This window comes from Homo sapiens, chromosome 8, assembly GCF_000001405.40.
Source record: "Homo sapiens chromosome 8, GRCh38.p14 Primary Assembly".
Classification (NCBI taxonomy): Eukaryota; Metazoa; Chordata; class Mammalia; order Primates; family Hominidae; genus Homo; species Homo sapiens.
The window spans coordinates 91,910,254-91,930,102 of record NC_000008.11 but is presented as its reverse complement, the minus strand read 5'-3'; the positions used below and the strand labels follow the sequence as shown (position 1 = coordinate 91,930,102).

The window sequence follows — 19,849 nt, the reverse complement described above, 5'->3', positions numbered from 1 at the left end:
AAAATCAGATTTAAGTAAGATTATTTGGTGAACAAGTATATGAGTGGAAAGTTCTTGTATTTTGATATTCCTATTGATGTGAATAAATTAATTTTCTTTATCTCTCCCTCCCAATGGTATTATAAGTATTTACTTTGTATTTTGTAGCTGTACATTTTTGTTAAATAATGTATTTTCTTTGAGTATGATTATGCTACCTATCTAGATAGCAAGTGCCTCCAGGACAGAGATGTATTATAGCATTTTTATCACATTTCCTTCAATGAAACCCTCTTTTTCTTTGGTCTCTGATGTTTTTCTTGATTATACCCAACCAGGACTAAGCAATATTAAAAAAGCACTTGGCAGGTCAAATACAGCAGCTCAGACCTGTTATTCCAGCACTTTACAGGCTGAGGCGGAAGGATCACTTGAGCCCAGGAGTTCGAGACCAGCCTGAGCAACAGAGTGGACCCATGTCTCTACAAAAAAAAAAAAAAAAAAAAATTCAGCTGGGCATGGTGGCACATGCCTGTAGCTCCAGCTGCTTGGGAGGCTGAGGCAGGAGGATCCCTTGATCTAGGGAGGTAGAGGCTGCAGTGAGCCATGATCAGACCACAGCACTCCAGCTGGGGTGACAGAGTGAGACCCTGCCTCAAACAAAAACAAAAACAAAAAAATAAAAACAAAAACAAAAAACAAGTAAAAAGAAAAAAAATAAAGAAAAATCTACTGACAAACTAGAGCATCTGTGTTTCTGAAATTCTTGATGAGAAAACTGACCAAGCAACATGTCAATGCCATGGAAAATCTTATTCAGCATCTGTTTGATATATTTGCTACTTGTAGTGATGATTACTAGATACATCTATGACTACATATGTAGTCTATGATATATCTACATAGACTATCATAGACATATCTATCATATGTATATCTATGACAACATATAAATGTAATGATTCAGTGGGCATACTTTAAACAGATTCTACGAGACACTATGTTGTTCTAGTAGTTTTCCTTTAACATGGTTGGTTATGAAAAAAATATACATTTCTCCCTCAGGCTTTTTATTGATTTAATCCTATTCCTTGATATTTTGCTTTTGTCCTGTCTCTTTTATGCTTCAATCTGTCTTTTTTTTTTTTACATCTTAATTCCTAGTTATTTTGGATAGTTGATTATTTTTCTGAGCAGAAAGATCTTCAGTTGAATGTAGTTCAGAAAGCAAAAAGGCACAAAAATTATTAACCTTCTATTTCCAATTTATCATGAGATTATCTGTTAGAGTCTTCCATTAAATTCTATTAGAAGTCAAGAAAGGAGAAGGGGGATTATTTGCAGAAGCTGCAGAAATCATATGCTACAATCTAAAGAAGAAATCATACTTTTTTATCACCAGTAATAAAAAAAGGTTTAAGAAGAGGCCAGTTAGTGAAAGATAGAGATACCAGCAATATTATAAAATCAAGAGTTGTTCCAAAAAGATGCTTTTGAATATATGGTTTGCAAAAGAGCCTGAACACATCTTTCAAGTATAAAAGAAGTCAATGAAAAAATATGATGTGGTTTCCAAGTACATTTTCAAGAACACAATTATTATATAAGAGAACGTAGAGTGAATTTTTATTTTTCCCATTTTTATTGTTGGCAGATTATATCTCTTTTAAATTAAAAATATCCTGAAAGAAACCATTTCACAAGTGAAATGACAAAAGTAATTCACCTTCTAAAATAGTCTCATTTTACACTACTTTGTGTTGTAAGCTAACATGGCTTAATATGCTTTAAGACTGAAAGGAAAGATAAAATTAGTTTCTGAAGGTTGAAAATGAATGTGTTGCCTATCCATTCTTGTGTAGATATGAACTAGTCTTCATAAAGCAAAGTAAAACTTGAACTTGGTAGTTTCAAAAGTATTTTTTATATATATGCTATATTAAAAAAAGACAACACACTTGAATGTAGATCATGACAGACAGTTACATCTGAGATGTAAGAAAAATTCTGGCATTATGAGGGTGTCAACATAATCAGTAAAAAATTATTTTTGATGACATGAAGAGGAAAAGTGTTAGCAGAATGAGAAGAATTTTCAAACAGCAGATACATAGCAAAGTCCTTTCCCCTTGTCTGCCAAATGCACCCACACTTGTCATCAGTGAATGCAATTAAATTTTTTTTTTACAATACAGAAGAGACTTTTGGCAGTCAATGAGGGCTAATTTTTTTCCTCACTTGTACACCCCTTTTAGCCACTGTGAAGATGTGACTTGAACGATGTTCATAGAGTTGACTTTGTCCCTTCATATGAATTTGTGAACAAATTGAGACAAAACTTGGGGGAAATGGAAACAGATCACACACTATTCTTTACATTTTAACACAGCCTGAGTTAAAAGGTTAAATCACTTAAGGGTAAAATAGTTCCTTCTGGTGTTCTCATGTGCATTTTTTTAGAAAAATACATTTTTGTTCTTTAGACAAAGAAAAAAATAGTGAAGTGACAAAAATCTCTTTATAACCTCCTTAGGCAACAGCTAGCATAAAAACTTAATAATTATTTAAAGACCATGAGAGATTACATGGCAAGAATTTATAGCACCTTTCCATGCATATTTCATTTATCCTTTATGAGCCTCAAATAAACATCACAATACCTTTTAGTTTTGCAAATGTCAAATATGTTACAGTCTTTGAATTTTATTCTGGTCTGTGGTCACTTCAATAAAGCAAAATATGTGGTAGAGTCAAATTCTCTCGGTCTAGTTTGTTTACACTACTATACACGCTCAAAGAGATATGCACACAATTTTTTTTTTTCAAGTGATTGGGCAGAATGAAAATGAGAATGTTTTAAAACTATAGAAATTATAAATCAATGAAATTATCTAGTTTGCATAGTCAACTGATTAATTCATGCAAAAAGATATTGGCAGTGGCTAGGTGCATTGGTATGCCTCTGTGCTTTCCTGCAACCCCAGTGACTACCAGGCTATACCTTCTAAACCATATTGTGGCAAAATGGAAAATAGATTAAGTTTCTAACCAGGGTTTTAATTGACTACTTAAGTTAACTGTGTGTTCTTTCTTCCATCTCCAATCCTTGATTTTTTCAAGAGACTTAAGTGGCAAATATTTTAATCTCTTTACCTGGGTTCCTCTTTGTTGAATTAACAGTGAAAATAAAACCCTAGTGTTGCTAGCCTTTGCTAAGATGAATCTTGGGGTAAAATACGTCTCAACTAAATAATTTGCACCTAACTTCCCATCAACCATTACTTAAATGTGCAATTAACAGAATGCTAATTCTAAATGAAATTCTGTATTTAACATTTTCTATTTGGTGTAATGTTACTGACCCCATATCTACAGAATGGGCATTAGTGATCATTCCCCAAATGAGAGTCATGCAGGAAAAAAAAAAAAAAAAGGCCTACTATGTGGTTCTCTAGGTTTCTGAAAGCAGTGGAGATGATTTATTGGCAGGTTAGTCATATTTCACTACTCAAACCCTCATGTAGCCTTCTGCTCATATTGCCAAAGGCACATCAGTACAGCTGGGTGAGTGCTAGTTGGAACTACAGAAGTGAAACAAGTCAGGTTCACACAGGTTACTAGCCAATATGGGAATTTCTACTGAAACCAGAACTTCAGCTTCATAGGCACTTTTGCACAGCAGACTCTTTATTGTGCTCTCCATAACACAGTATTTCTCTTGGCCACTTTTGCCAGCTAGAATCCTTAGCTGGTGATGCCCCCACCTGGGCCTTATTTAGCCCTGGGCCTGCCGCATGGGGCATCCTGCACACTCGACCGGCTGGGCCACACGTGATTTGCACATGGCTTAGCCCGCAGCTGGGCTGGGTGTGCCCAAGCCTGCCTGTGTTACAGCTGGTACCTGTGTTCAGCAGTTCCCAAGTTCTTGTTCCACATCCAAGAAGAATGAGGTTACACTGACAATCGAAGGGTGAGAAGGGTGGAGAAGAGCTTTATTAAGCAACAGAACAGCTCTCAGAGGAGAGGGGATGCAAGGGTGGACCCCCACTCGAAGTCAGATGGTCTTTCCCAGGGTGGCTGAGTCCAGGGCTTTCATGGGCTCAGAATGGGGGAGTGCGTGCTAATTGGTTTGTGAGTATGCAAAAAGGGGTAAAACAAAGGCACCACTCAAAGGTAGGCATGACAGTGTAAAATACAAATTACGGAAGGGTACGTATGTGTAAAATAAGTGAAAGGTAAGGATCAATACGAGGAAATCACGCCAAATGGGAAGAGAAGTTCTCAATCCAGTCTGTGGATTTACTCGACTTGTAGCTTGTCTTTCAGGCTTTAAACTGTCTGGTTTGAAGGTGGAGTTTCACCAGGGACCCGTCCCTGTCTGTTTAGGGTTGTTCTGCCTCCTGCTGCTATCATTCAGACAAAAGAGATTTTATTTAAGGGGCCTGGTAGGGAGAGCCCTTTCTTTCTTCTTAATATTCTTTATGGCATCATTATTAACACTCTTCTTTTCATCTTCTTATATGTTATATCAATATTAGGTTATAAGACAGTAGTTTAACACCAGTCATTTTCCTCTAAGTGTGTTTGGACAATAGGAAAAGGCAGAGGAAACATCACACAATAAGCCGAATATAGCAATAGAAATAGGAGTACTCACCACTACCATTCATTTTGACTTTAGTTAGGTGACAGTTTTTGCTTGTTTGCTTTTTTCTTAGATCTATTATTAAAAATGGAGGCCAAAAATAGTACAACAATCTTTAGGAGTTAGAAGGGAAACTGAAAAAATTCACAGGATAGGAGGAGGTAAGGATTGAAGGTCTGTGAAAAACAAATATTACCTAGGAAACAAAAATGTACACTTTGTTATATTTTGCTAGGTATGAATTACCCTCTGCAGAATTGGATCTAATTATCTTGCATTTTCAAGAAGAAACTATTAGAGAAGTGAAAAATACACATTTAATGGAGTTGTTTTGTGTGCTCATTTACTGTATATTCATTTTTAAAATATAAACGTGATATATTAAATGTAAGAAAAATAATTGTATTACTAATAAAACTGTATCACAAATAAAAACACATGGAATTAGGGGAACTCACTGTTACTGGAAAGGGGTCCCGATTCAGACCCCAAAAGAGGGTTCATGGACCTCACATAATATAGAATTTGGGGCAAGTCCATAAAGTGAAAGCAAGTTTATTGGGAAAGCAAAGGAATGAAAGAATGACTCCTCCATAGAGCAGCAGCATGGGCTGCTCTACTGAGTGTACTTATAGTTATTTCTTGGTTATATGCTAAATAAAGGGTGGATTATTCATGAGTTTTCTGAGAAAAGGATGGGAATTTCCAGAAACTGAGGGTTCCTCCTTTTGGGTAACTTCTGAAAATTTCCCATGGCATTTGTAAACTGTCAAGGGGCTGGTGGTAGTGTCTTTTAACATGCTAATGCGTTATAATTAGCATATAATGAACAGTAGAGATGGCCAGAGGTCACTTTCATTGCCATCTTGTTTTTGGTGGGTTTTGGCCAGCTTCTTTACTGCACGCTGTTTTATCAGCATGGTCTTTGTGACCTGTGTCTTGTGCTGACCTCCTATCTCATCCTGTGACAACAAAAATACAGTATAAAAGTTAATAAGAAAAAGGTATACCTGTATAGGCCACTTACCATGAATGGAGCTTTCAAGACTGGAAGTTGCTCTGGGTGAGTCAGTGAGTGAGTGGTAAATGAAAGTGTAAGCCTAGCACATTACTGTACACTACTGTAGACTTTATAAACACTGCATTTAGGCCATACTAAATTTATAAAATATGTTTCTTTCTTCAATAATAAATTAAGCTTAGCTTACTGTAACTTTTACTTCATGAGCTTTTTTTTAACTTTTTGACTCTTTTCTGTTAATACTTAGCTTAAAACATAAACACATTTTTCAGCTGTACAAAAATATTTTATTTCTTTATAATCTAATTTTATAAGCTCTTTTTGATTTTTAATTTTTCTAACCTTTTTGTTAAAAACATAAAACACAAGTGCACACATTAACCTGGGTCTGCATAGAGTCAGAATCAACAAGATCAGTGTCTTCCACCTCCAATCTTGTCCCACTGGAAGGTCTTCAGGAGCAATAACATGCGTGGAGCTGTCATCTCCTATGAATCGCCTATAACAATGCCTTCTACTGGAATATCCCCTGAAGGATCTGCCTGAGGCTGCTTTACAGTTAACTTTTCTTTTTTACTATGTAGGAGTGCACTCTAAAATAATGATTAAAAGCATAAAGTAGTAAATACATAAACCAATAACGTGGTCCTTTATTATCATTATCAAGTATTATGTATTGTACATAATTGTATGTGCTATACTTTTACATGATTAGCAATGCAGTAGGTTTGTTTATGCCAGCATCACCACGAACATGAGTAATGCATGGCACCACAACCTAAAAATGGCTACGATGTCACTAGGTGATAGAAATTTTTCAGCTCCATTATAATCTTATGGGTTCACCTTGATATATATGGCCTATCAAGACCAAAAAGTTGGGTCCACCTTGATATATACGGCCTATCAAGACCAAAAAGTTATGTGGCACATGATGTAATTGAGAGATTTACCATACTACAATAAACATATCTACAGAATTGAGAGACACTTAAAACCTCATAATTATTTCTGCTTTTGAATCAATAAATTCAGGCTCTCACCTGCTTGTTATAGTCTCTCACTTTAAATAATTATTTAATATGCATGAATACCTTATAGTATGCTTGATGCTTTTCAAGGCATAGGCATAGATTCAGTCCTTTTCTATATAAATAAGACCCACAAGATGAATAAGACAACATGATGCATGCCAGACTCTCACAAGTGAGCAATGATTGGTTTATTTTAACATGACTTTGCTTTTGCTATTTTGTGAAGTAATTTTTCCTGATTACAGAAGCATGGCAAAAAAGTTGGAAACACAAAGAAATATAAAAAATGGAAAAGTAAATTACTCTTAATCACATCACCTAGGGCTAACTACTGCTAATATTTTGGCGTATTATTTTTTGTATATTTTGTGCATATAATAGATTTGTAACTATAATACATATACAGTTTTATTCTGTTATTCATATTTAATTTTTAATTATATATGTAATTTGCTATTACCTTAATTAGTATTCATGAATAGAATTTTCAAAATGGCTTATAAGCCAAAAGGCTCTTTCCACCCCTTTTCTGTTTTTTCTAACTCACTCTACCTTAGAATCTTTCCACTCTTAATGCATATTATCTTATTACTTTCTAAAAAGATTGTATTAATTTAAAACCTTACTACTAGCCTATGAGAGTGCTTGCTTCACTGCCTCCTCACCAACAATGGGTATCATTACTTTTATAAATCTTGACGATTTGATATTTAGAGAATGGTATTTCAATATTCCTTTGAGTATTACAGGTTTTTTTAAATTCCTTCTAAGAATTATCTATTCATTTTCTTTACTTATCTACTGGAGTGTAAAAGTATGTCTTATTACTTCTTACATCATCTTTATATATTGAGAACATTAAATTCTAATCAAATTAATTTTTGTAAATGTTCCCAATTTCAGTTTTATTTATAATTTCTTTAACATATAAGTGTTTAAATTTTTATTCAGGGAAATTCATTGGCCTTTGCTACTTTCGTTTTTTTGCATTGCCTTTATGTACTGTAAGACAATTGATTATTTATATATACATTTTTTAAAGTATTTTGATTTTCAGAAGAATGATTAAAATATTTGTACATCAAATATTCATAGTGTTTCAATTTTAGTATATGTGCTGTTTAAATGAGTATATAAACTAGTTTTTTGTGGTTTGATTATGTTTTACATTTAACTCTGGTATACTGGAATTCATTATTATGTTGAGAATCCATATTGACATTTTTCACAAATAGCCAATTTTTGCAGTATAATTTGTTAAATAATTTATCTCCCCCTACAGGCTTCTGATTTTTTTTTGTTAAATATTAAATTATTGCATCTGTACATGAAAATACCTAATTTATGGCTGTCCCATTCCAGCCACCTATCTGTAGATTCTACTTGATGACATAATATTGTTTTAGTCTTTGGAGCTTAATAAGTATGTTTTAATATCGGTTAAAGCAAATCCCTTTGAATTAGTCACTTAAAAAAATTCTGTATTATTCTTATCTATTGTTTGATGAACTTTAGAATCATCATATCAAAAATTAGTGGCTGGGTGGGGCGCAGTGGCTCATGCCTGTAATCCCAGCACTCTGGGAGGCCGAGGCAGGTGGATCACCTGAGGTCAGGAGTTCAAGGCGAACCAGGCCAACATGGTGAAACCTCGTCTCTACTAAAAAATACAAAAATTAGCTGGGTATGGTGGTGCACACCTGTAGTCCCAGCTACTCAGGAGGCTGAGGCAGGAGAATCGCTTGAATCTGGGAGGTGGATGTTGCAGTGAGACAAGATCACGCCACTGCACTCCAGCCTGGGCAACAAAGCGAGACTCTGTCTCTAAAATAAATAAATAAATAATTAAAAAATAAAATAAAATGTGCCATATGGCACTTAGCACACATCTTGGTACATAGTAAGTGCTCAATTAATGTAAGCCCTTAGTTATTCTTTTTCCTCTGTCTGGAATGTTTGCCACTCCATCTTTAATCTTCTTCACCAAATTAACACATGTTCATCCTCCAAAACACAGGTAAAATGTCCCATCTAAAAATGTCATAGATGTTCTTAATGGTATCTAAAATGGTGAATCCTTTCCAGAGGGTATTCAATTTACTTTGCCCAGATCCATCAGACGAATCACTATCTATGGCAGCTCTAACCTTACAAAATGTATTTTTTAAATAATTAGACTCGGAAGTCAAAATGATTCCTTGATCCATGCACTGCAGAGTAGATGTTGGATAGCAGGTGTGAATATAACATCAGCCTCCTTGTACATCTCAATCAGAGCTGTTGGATGACCACATGCTTTGTCAGTGAGTAGTAATATTTTGAAAGTACTTTTTTTTTTTTCTGAGCATTAGGTCTAAACAGTGGGCTAAAAATATCCAGTAAACTATGCTGTAAACAGATGTACCATCATCCAGGCTTTGTTGATCCATTTAGAGAGCACAGGCAGAGTAGTTTAGCATCACTCTGAAAGACCCTAGGGTTTTCAGAATAGTAAATGACTTAAACTTAAAGTCATCAACTACATCAGCCCTTCACAAGACAGTCAGCCTATCTTTTGAAGCTTTGAAGCCAGGCATTGACTTTTCTCTAGTTATGAGAGCCTTAGATGGCATCTTCTTCCATTATAAAGCTGTTCTGTCTACATAGAAAATCTTGTCTTGGGTAGCTGCCTTCATTAATGATCTTAGCTGTATCTTCTCTATAGCTTGCTGCAGCTTCTCCATCAGCACTTGATGTTTCACTCTGCACTTTTATGTTATGAAGCTTCTTAAACTTTATGAACCAGGTTCTGCTATCTTCAAATGTTTCTTCTGCAACTTCTTCACATCTCTCAGCCTTCACAGAATTGAAGAGAATTAGGGCCTTACTCTAGATTAGGCTTTGACTTTAAGGAATGTTATGGCTGATTTGATCTTCTATCCAGACCACTAAAACTTTCTCCATATGATTATTCAGGCTGTTTCACTTTCTTATTATTCATATGTTCACTAAAGTAGCACTTTTAATTTTCTTCAAGAACTTTTTGTTTGCATTCACAAATCGGCTGTTTGGTAAAAGAAGCCTAGCTTTTAGCCTATCTCAGCTTTTGATGTAACTTCCTCACCAAACCTAATCATTTCTAGCATTTGATTTAAAGTGAGAACTGTGTGACTCTTTCAGTTGAACAATTCGAGGCCATTGTAGTGTAATTAATTGGCCTAATTTCAATATTGTTGTGTTTCAGGGAATAGGGAGGTCCAAGGAGAGTGAAAGAAATGAAGGAAGGGCTGCTCTGTGGATCAGTCAGAACACACACAACATTTATTGATTAAATTTGCTGTCTTATATGGGAGAAGTTTGTGTTGCCCTAAAACAATTACAAAAGGATCACTCATTACAGACCACCATAACAAATATAATAATAGTAATAAGTTTGAACTATCGTGAGAGTTACCAAAATGTTACACAGAGACACAAAGAGAGCACATGTTATTGGAAAACAAATGGCACCAATAGAGATGCTCAAAGCAAAGTTGACACAAACATTCAATCTGTAAAAAATGCCATATCTGCTAAGTGCAATTATATGGTTTTGTTTTGTCCCCACCCAAATTCTCATCTTGAATTGTAATTCCCATAACTCCCATAATCCCCACATGTCAAGGGAGAGACCAGGTGGAGGTAATTGAATCATGGGGACACTTTTCCCCATGCTGTTCTCAAAATAGTGAGCTCTCATGAGATCTGATGGTTTTATAAGGGGCTCTTCCCCCTTCACTTGCACTCCTCTCCCCTGCTGCCTTGTGAAGAAGGACATGTTTGTTTCCCCTTTTTGCCATGATTGTAAGTTTCCTGAGGCCACCCCAGCTATGTGGAACCATGAGTCAATTAAAATTATTTCCTTTATAAATTACCCAGTCTCAGGTATTTTTTATTGCAGTGTGAAAACAGACTAATACCTGCAATAAAGTGAAGCACAACAAAACAAGAATGACAAGAATATATGTATATTAATTTTCACAATAACCCACAAAGTAGGCACTTTCAAAAATGTGCATTAACAGATGATGTAACTAAGGCATAGAAAAGTTAAACAACTTACAACTTGTAGGTAATGGGTACAAATCCAGACTCATACTCTGACTCCAGTATGACTTCAGGATTTATACTCTTAACTGCTATGCTATCTGGTCTCTCTGTACAAATATTCTAAAGTGGGAAGATGCACTTTACATTTCTGTGTCTCAAAGAAGGTCTGGAGAGCTGACAAGAGCAGAGGAAGCTGAATCTGTTGAGGCAGGCAGGTATCGGATTGAATTAGTAGAACGTGGTAAAGATTTTGATTTTTGCCCTAAAAGTATTTGGAAACTACTGATAGGTAGTCATTAGGAAGGTGACAAGATTATATTAGCATTTAAAAAGGATTTCTCTGGCTGTGATATGAAGAACGGATTGGAGGAGGTAGAATAAAAGCAGACAAAACCACTTGGGAACTATTTCACTGATACAAAATAGAGATGATGGTAGATAAGAGTTGGTGGTTGTGGTCACAATAGAAAAAATATATGCTTGAGACATATTTTAGAGCCAAAGAAGAAAGGAATTTTGATCAATTGGATATATAAATGAGATAAAGAGAGACATCATGCGCATTTTAGGCACAGGCAACTGAGTGGAGGTAACAATTACTAAAATGGGAATCACCTATTAATTTTAAGAACACAGAGAAAACAGAAAAACAATCTTTGATTATTTTTCCCTCTTGGGTTGCTTTAAGATTTTTTCTTTTCTTTTTTTTTAAATTAGTATACAATCTATCCTAACATAGAACAGCTTTCTTAACCTGCTCCATAAAATTACCAGCAAGAAAGAAAAGTACAAGAATAAGGTTTACAGTTGAATCAGCTTGGTGTCATAATTCCCTATTCCAGTATCCTCAGAAGGATCCTATCTATCATACATGGAGAAACTGCAGACACATTTGAATGGTTCAATCTTGATTCATCATGAACTCCCTTAAGCCCAGCAGTTTCTCATTCTTAAAAGTTAGGTTATTACAGCCCAAAAGCAATCTACCTTTATATATTTGCAAATATGTGTTAAGGAAGACAATATAATTCTCCAATTACAAAATCAATAAGAAAGGCAACTGTTCTTTGCACCTGTGGGATGAACATGAAGATTTGGAATGGGCCATGAACAGTCTGGCTGGGGGCTTTGGAGCAGGAAGTCTTGGAAGCCAGTAGATTGTAAAGTTGTCCAAGAGACCCAGAGCTCAACTCAAATATCCAATCCTCCCGTAGCCACTGTCTTTACCAAGACAAAGTCTGAAAAAACCTAATTAGTACATAGATCCAGCTCTGTTCACACAAGAAAAAATCTCTCCCTAGGCCCTGTGCAGGCCAGGCCAGAAGAACAAGGGTGACTCAGGACACTCCATTTATTGACCCCCAAGTCTAACAAAACTAAAATCTCTGCATGGTGTTTTAAGAGGACCTTGACCTTGTTCCCACCCTATGCTCACTGAAGTCGGCTCACTTATGTTTCTGTAGCCTCTGCATCTGTTTTCTGAGAAAGTAAGAGGACTTCATGTGCCTATTTCCTTCACAGTCTCTCAGCATTTGTGATCATCTTACGATGCAGAGGGAAAAAGCCAGCAAGAACCAGAAGCTTTTCCATAGGTTTAAAAGAGGTGGGTAGCACAGCCAATCCAATGCTGGATCCTGTCCAGGTTGAGGGCAATGAGATTTTCCCCATGACTGTTGGGAAATGAATCATAGGATCCCAGCTGCTCTACCAAAAGACCATCCCTGGGACACTTGCTGTGAGCAGCCACAATGGTGTAAAAGGGCCGGTTGGCAAAGCTGCCCAGGGCAAGGCAGATGGTTAAGTGGCCCCCATGGTAGGCCTTGCAGAGGAGAGTAGTGAGGTGGACCATGGTGCGGCTGGCATGTGGCTCCTTGGAGTGTCCCACTACCCACACCAACCACCTCTATGACCTTGGCGGTGCAGAGGACTGACACAGAAAGCAGCTGCAGGTGGACACTGGGCCGTGACACCTGGCTACCCAAGCCGGAAAACCTTGACTCTGAAAGCAGATAATCCACTCACCCCGCAGACTTTTGTCTTTGTCTTTGACTTTCATTTTCACTATGATGTTCATAGGTGTGTTTTTCTTAATGTTTACCAGGCTTAGGTTTGTAGTACTTCTTGAATCTGAGTCTTGATGTCTTTTGTCAATTTTGGAAAGTTTTTAGTCATTATTTCTTAAAATATTGCATCAGTCCTGTTCTGTTTCTCCTTTCTTTTGGGGAATCCAGTTAAATGTATGTTAGATCTTTGAATTTATGCTGTGTATTATCTCTCCATTTACTCTGCAGCTTCAGTCTAGATATTTTTTTCTGTTCTATCTTCCAATTAATGAATTCTCTCTTCATCTCTCTTTAACCTGCTATTAAACCCACTGTGTCAGTAATTGCATCTCAGCTTCAAACCCAGCTAAATGGGTGTCTGCAAACCATGTTTCTACTTTGTCAGTTGGTTCCATATTAGGATTTGCCAACAGGCAGCAATAGAGGGATACAGCAATTTTGGAAAAAGGAGGAGGCATTTGCTTCTTCTTATTTGTTCCCTGTGGGCTTTCTATAGAATTTCTTTCTCCTGGTAGTTCCTTTGAGCATTACCCCAGTGATGCTTCTCAAAGTGCCTTCCTGTAGCAGCAGCTAAAACCAGCTTATAGTTTTTCTATCTCTTGAAGAATTGGCTTCAGTGACCTTAGAGACCTCAGAATCCCAGAGATTTAAGTTCCAGGCTCAGAGACACCACCAGAGCCAAATGGCGGGTGCCTCCTCCTCTGAGTCAATAATTACATTTACTTTTTTCTCCCAAGCTTTTGAGGTATAGTTAACACATAAACATTGTGCATACTTATGACGTTTCAATAGATGTATATATTGCGAGATGATTCCTTCAATCAAGCTAACTAACCTATACATCATCTCACATATTTATCCACCCCATTGTTTTTTTGTGTGTGTGAGAGAACAATTAAGACCTACTCACTTGGACAATTTCAAATAGTTATGTGTCATTTAACAAGGAGAATACATTCTAAGAAATGCATCCTTAGGTGATTTCATCATTGTGTGAACTTCTTAGAGTATACTTACACAAACCTAGATGGTAGAGCCTACTACACACCTAGGCTCTATGATATTGTCTATGGCTCCAAGGTTGCAAACCTGTGTAGACACAAATTCAACCTAGGTTTTTTGTTTGTTTGTTTGTTTGTTTTTCTCCTTACTTACTGATCAGTTTGCAATGCGACTTAACTATTTTAGTTATAGAGGTTTATGTCAAGTCTTGTCAGAAAGAAGAGAGTTCCTATTCCTTATTCAAGTTCGATTGCCTACAGTATGTCTGTATAAAGTGAATATGGTTAGAAATATCCCTCAGAGAAATTATCTTGGCTTTGCAGCTTATACTACTTTAGTAGAGACAGTTTTTATTTATTTTTATTTGTTTTGAGGTATGGTCTCACTCTGTTGCCCAGGCTGGAGTGCAGTGGCAACATCTCGGCTCACTATAGCCTCAACCTCCTGGGCTCAAGTGATCCTGCCACCTCAGCCTCCCTAGTAGCTTGGACTACAGGCACACACAACCACGCCTGGCTAATTTTTTTTTTTTTTTTTTTTTTTTGTAGAGATGGGATTTTGCCACGTTGCCCAGGCTGGTCTCAAATGCCTGAGCTCAAGCCATACATCCACTTTGACCACCCAAAGTGTTGGGATTACAGGGGTGAGCCACTGTACCCACTTTAGTGGAGACATTTTGAAAAGCGAGCATTAATTTAGATATTCTGAAATGATCATATTAATATAAACTTGAGGTGAGTTTTCATAAACAAATCTGGATCAATAAAATGACCTTAGATGTTATAACCAAATATTCAAAGGAATGAGAACCATCAGGCTAGGACATATTTTACTCTCTTTGAGCCATGAGCCATGTAGTCTATGGATTTGGGAAGTATTTAAAAAGATGTATAAGTCCATCAAGTTTATTTACTTATTTTTTTTGAGATGGAGTCTCACTCTGTCACCCAGGCTGGAGTGCAGTGGTGTGATCTCTACTCACTGCAACCCCTGCCTCCTGGGTTCAAGCAATCCTCCCACCTCAGCCTCCAGAGTAGCTGGGACTACAGGCATGCACCGCCACCCAGCTAATTTTTGTATTTTTAGTAGAGATGGGGTTTCAGCATGTTAGCCAGGCCTGTCTCAAACTCCTGACCTCAGGTGATCCACCTGCCTCGGCCTCCCAAAGTGCCGGGATTATAGGCATGAGCCACCATGCCTGGCCAAGTATAAGATACTTAAAGTTAGGGGGAAACGATACTTCAGAAATTTTAGTGACCAAATTAATGAAATATCAAGTCAAGTAACCTAGTCTAAGTAGGTCAAGGTGCAGGCTTTTGTGAATAAATAAAATAAGTTGATGACATAAAAGGGTCGTGGGCCACCGGGCCACTTTCTTTAAATCATAGAGTAACTCCCATAGCAATTATAAATAGAGTTCAGTGTGTTCCTTCAAGGTCACAATTGAGAATCCAATTAGTGTTCAAGCTGAAATCTCTGCTTGTTATGTGGCTTTAAGCATCTGAGATAGTCTCCCCTTAAATTGCTTGGGATGGTTAACGTTTTTTCCCTAGTTTGTCATCGTCTTCAACCCTGGAAAATTTTAGAATTAGGTGTAGAAGTGTTTAAGAGACTTAAACACATTGCTCATTCCCTCATTTCATTCAGATGCCCTCTCTGATTCTACATTCTGTACAAGAGAGCCCCGCCCACTCCATCATTGCTATTCCCTCATTGTGCTTTATTTTTGCTCTATAGCATGTTGCATTACCTACAATATGTTGTATATAATAGAATATATTTATTTCTGCTATTTGACTCTGTTTTTCCATTGGAATGTAAGCTCCTCCAGGGTGTGGACTTTTGTTTGTTGCTATATCTCCAGAACATAAAGCAATGTGCCTGGCACACAGTAAGTTGTTATTACATGAATGAAAAATACTGAATAAAGGAGGCCTCTCTTTTCATGATCCTAAAGGAATCTGGGGAAGTTAAAAATGAGAAAGTAATTCCTTAGCACTACTTTGTTTTTGAAATGGCAGAACAGCCTTTCATTTTGAATAGTCTATATTTTAGCAATCACCCTTTTTATTCTTACATTTTTTGGTTCTAAAGGACACAATAGAGATGGTCATTATGCACTTCTGTATTCTGATTATCCACCAAAGAAATTAAACAAACACACTTAGAATCTTACAATGTTGCAGGCTCTTTGCTAGATGTTTTAGATTTGGAGATTCAAGACACATCCTTGTCCTCAAGAGGCTTCTAGTATTGTTGGGAGGCAGCAAGAAAACAATTCTTATGACATGCACACTAATACTGTGATGAGACATTTACACAGGGTGCAAGGGGAGCCCAGAAGTAGGGCATGCAACCCAGAATGAGAGAGTCCGCGAAGATTTCCTAGAACAGATGGTGCTTAAACTCAGCATTGAATGATAAACATTATAATAACAAAAATATTACTGTCATCATTCCTTGAGTACTTAGTATATGCCAGTCAATTGACAACCTTAATGTCATTGCTCCTGACAAGAACCCTTGTGTGGTAAATAATACTGAGAGGTGAAGCTGGCTGGGCTTCTGGGTCGAGTGGTGATTTGGAGAACTTTTCTGTTTAGCTAAAGTTTTGTAAATGCACCAATCAGCACTCTGCAAAAATGCACCAATCAATGCTCTGTGTTTAGCTAAAGGTTTGTAAATACACCAATCAGCACTCTGTAAAAATGCACCAATCAACGCTCTGTGTCTAGCTAAAGGTTTGTAAACGCACCAATCAGCACTCTGTGAAATGGACCAATCAGCGCTCTGTAAAATGGACCAATCAGCAGGACGTGGGCAGGGCCAAATATGGGAATAAAAGCTGGCCCCTGGAGCCAGCAGTGGCAACCTGCTTGGGTCTCCTTCTATGCTGTGGAAGCTTTGTTCTTTCACTCTTTGGAATAAATCTTGCTGCTGCTCACTCTGGGTCTGCACTACCTTTACGAGCTGTAACACTCATCATGAAGGTCTTCAGCATCACTCCTGAAGTCAGCAAGACCACGAACCCACTGGGAGGAACAAACAACTCCCAGGTGCACTGTTTTTAAGAGCTGTAACACTCACTGTGAAGGTCTGCGGCTTCACTCCTAAAGTCAGCAAGACCATGAACCCACCGGAAGGAAGAAGCTCTGGACACATCTGGACATCTGAAGGAACAAACTCCAGACACACCATCTTTAAGAACTGTAACACTCACAGCGAGGGTCCGCGGCTTCATTCTTGAAGTCAGCGAGACCAAGAACCCACTGGAAGGAACCAATTCTGGACACAATATTATTCTCAAGTTGTAGACAAGGAAAGTGTGTTTAAAAATAATTAGTAAGTTACCCAAGATTACATAGGCACTAAGTGGCAGAATGGAATGCTGGGAGGAGGTGATGAGGCCAGCACAAAGAAAACAAAATTTGCAAAACACAAAAGCGTGATGGAGCATAACAAAGCAGCAACTAATAGGATTGACCAGGTGGGGTGTGGAGGGCTTTAGAAGGTTGGAGTGGAAGGTGGGGAAATGTTTTGATATAATGTTGGAGAAAAAGGGCAGGGTCAGATCACGATGGGTAAGGGTCAATCCAAGGATTTTGAAGTTTAGATGTGGAAATTTCTGATCCTGATATTCTAAAGAATGATTATCCAGCTCTGCATAGAATTTAGTGGAAAAGTTTAAGATATAAGAGATTCCATAAGTAGTTTCTCACTCTTTAAAGTGAGAGACCCTATTAAAAACAACTGTTTTGCCTCTGGGTTTATGAGAAAGACTAAGAAGAAAGGAGACAGAGAAAGGGTTTTAAAAGGGTTTGAAATGCAATGTTTCTGCATAGAACTTGTTCCTTGTCAGGCTTCTTGATATTTATTTATTTTTTAACTTTTATTTTAAGTTCAAGGGTACAAGTGCTTGTTTGCTGCTTCGGTAAATTTGTATCATGGGGGTTTGTTGTATAGATTATTTTATCACCCAGGTGTTAAGCCTAATGCCCATTAGTTATTTTTCCTGATCCTCTCCCTCCTGCTTTCCACCCTCTGGTAGGCCCAAGTGTATGTTGTTCTCTTCTATGTGTCAATGTGTTTTCATCATCTAGCTCCCACCTATAAGTGAGAACATATGGTATTTGATTTTCTGTTCCTGTGTCCAACTCCATCCATGTCCCTGCAAAGGACATGATCTCATTCTTTTTGAGAGATCATCCAGGAACCAATATTTATTTTCGGTCTGCTATGTGTCAGTGAATGGGCTTGGATTTTCACATCATCTCGTTGATTCTCATCCTACAAAGTAGAAAAGTAGGAAAATTTTCTTCATTCTATAGATGAGGAAACTGAGCACTGATAAAACTAAGTAATTTTTCAGGGCTCACATGGCTAGTTAATGGGGAAGTCAGACTTAAACCTATATAAAGACTCAAGCTCTTTCTAGCTTAAGCTGTGTTCTTCCCTAGAGAACAGTACTTTTCTAACCAGTAGATCATGACCTAATAAAAGATCATGACTATCAAGGTAGTGGTTCCTAATTACCATTTGAAAAAATAAAATAGGTTGGGTACAGTGGCTCACGCCTGTAATCCCAGCACTTTGGGAGGTCGAGGTGGGCGGATCACCTGAGTTCAGGAGTTCAAGACCAGCCTGGTCAACATGGTGAAACCCTGTCTCTACTAAAAATTCAAAAACTTAGGCAGGTGTGGTGCTGCACACCTGTAGTCCAGGCTACTCAGGAGGCTGAGGCAGGAGAATCGCTTGAATCTGGGAGGCAGAGGTTACAGTAGGCTAAGATAGCACCACTGCACTCTAGTCTGGGTGACAGAGCAACCTCCGTCTCAAGTAATAATATAAAATAAAATCGAGAAATAGATTAGCAGCATGCATTGCGTGTAATAATGGTTAACATTGGTTGAAACTTTGTTTTAGTTATACATATATATAAAAATATAAATATTTATATGTACTGAGTTGTTATCAGAAGTGTGCTTCTTATTATTGGCTGGGGTTTAAAATGTTTGAAAAACTCATTCAGCAAAATATCAGTCGGATCACTGTTATCACTCCACTACTCCATAGCGAGCACTTTTTCCTGTGAAGTTAAATGTTTACAGGTAACTGACAGCCTAATACACCTCAAGTAGATGACACGGCAAGAATAGAAAGGGAATGAAAAGGAGAAGTTTTGTAGGGGCTGAGGAAGATTAGCTGACCAGTTCTTTCCCATCTCATTTCAATCAATGGCAAGCTGTCAAGTGAGGCAGGAGAATAGGGCCTGGAGGTAGGGAACCTAAGGCCAATTCACACTGACTTCCTAGAAATAAATCAAAAGGAAAACCCCAACTTTCCACACCCAAGTAACAAAAGAACAGAGGCTACTTCCTTTGCCCCACTCCTTTCTGAATCACAGATGAGAAATGGAAAGTACCTCTGATTATTCCCATACAACAACCAGTCAGACTGGTCACAGGCCTAGTCTTCATTTGCATAGGGGTATAACTTTGTAAGTTTACTTCAGCCTCTAATTGGTCCCCTCCTGCAACCAATCAGACATTTGCATAGTGTGTTAACTTTGTAACTTCACTCAGCCTCTGACTGGTCACCTTCCATGACCAATCAGACTGGTTGCAGGTCACTACCTCATTTGCATAGGGTGTAAACCAAATAACCAATGGGAAACTTCTAGAGGGTATTTAGATCCCAGAAAATTCTGTAACCAGTGCTCTTGAGCTGCTTGCTCAAGCCCGCTCCTACTCTGTGGAGTGTACTTTCATTGTAATAGATCTGTGCTTTTGTTGCTTTATTATTTCATTGCTTTGTTTTTGCATTTTGTCCAATTCTTTGTTCAAAATGGCAAGAACCTGGACCACTCATAGTCAAGACCCTTCACCAGTAACAAAAGCTTCTTTAATTTAACATTTCATCTGCTGTATTGAGGGAAGGCAGACAGTAGCAATTACTATTTCGAGAACATATATGTGTGGATCATTTTTTGATGTGGTAAATTGAGGAAGAATTTTTCTCTCTCGATTCTTGTCCTGTA

General features: G+C 37.5%; 1 pseudogene; it reads right to left on the bottom strand.

Annotated features, from left to right (window-relative positions):
- Positions 1-11,982: 11,982 nt before the first annotated feature.
- On the bottom strand, positions 11,983-12,758 carry MRPS16P1 (mitochondrial ribosomal protein S16 pseudogene 1; annotated as a pseudogene).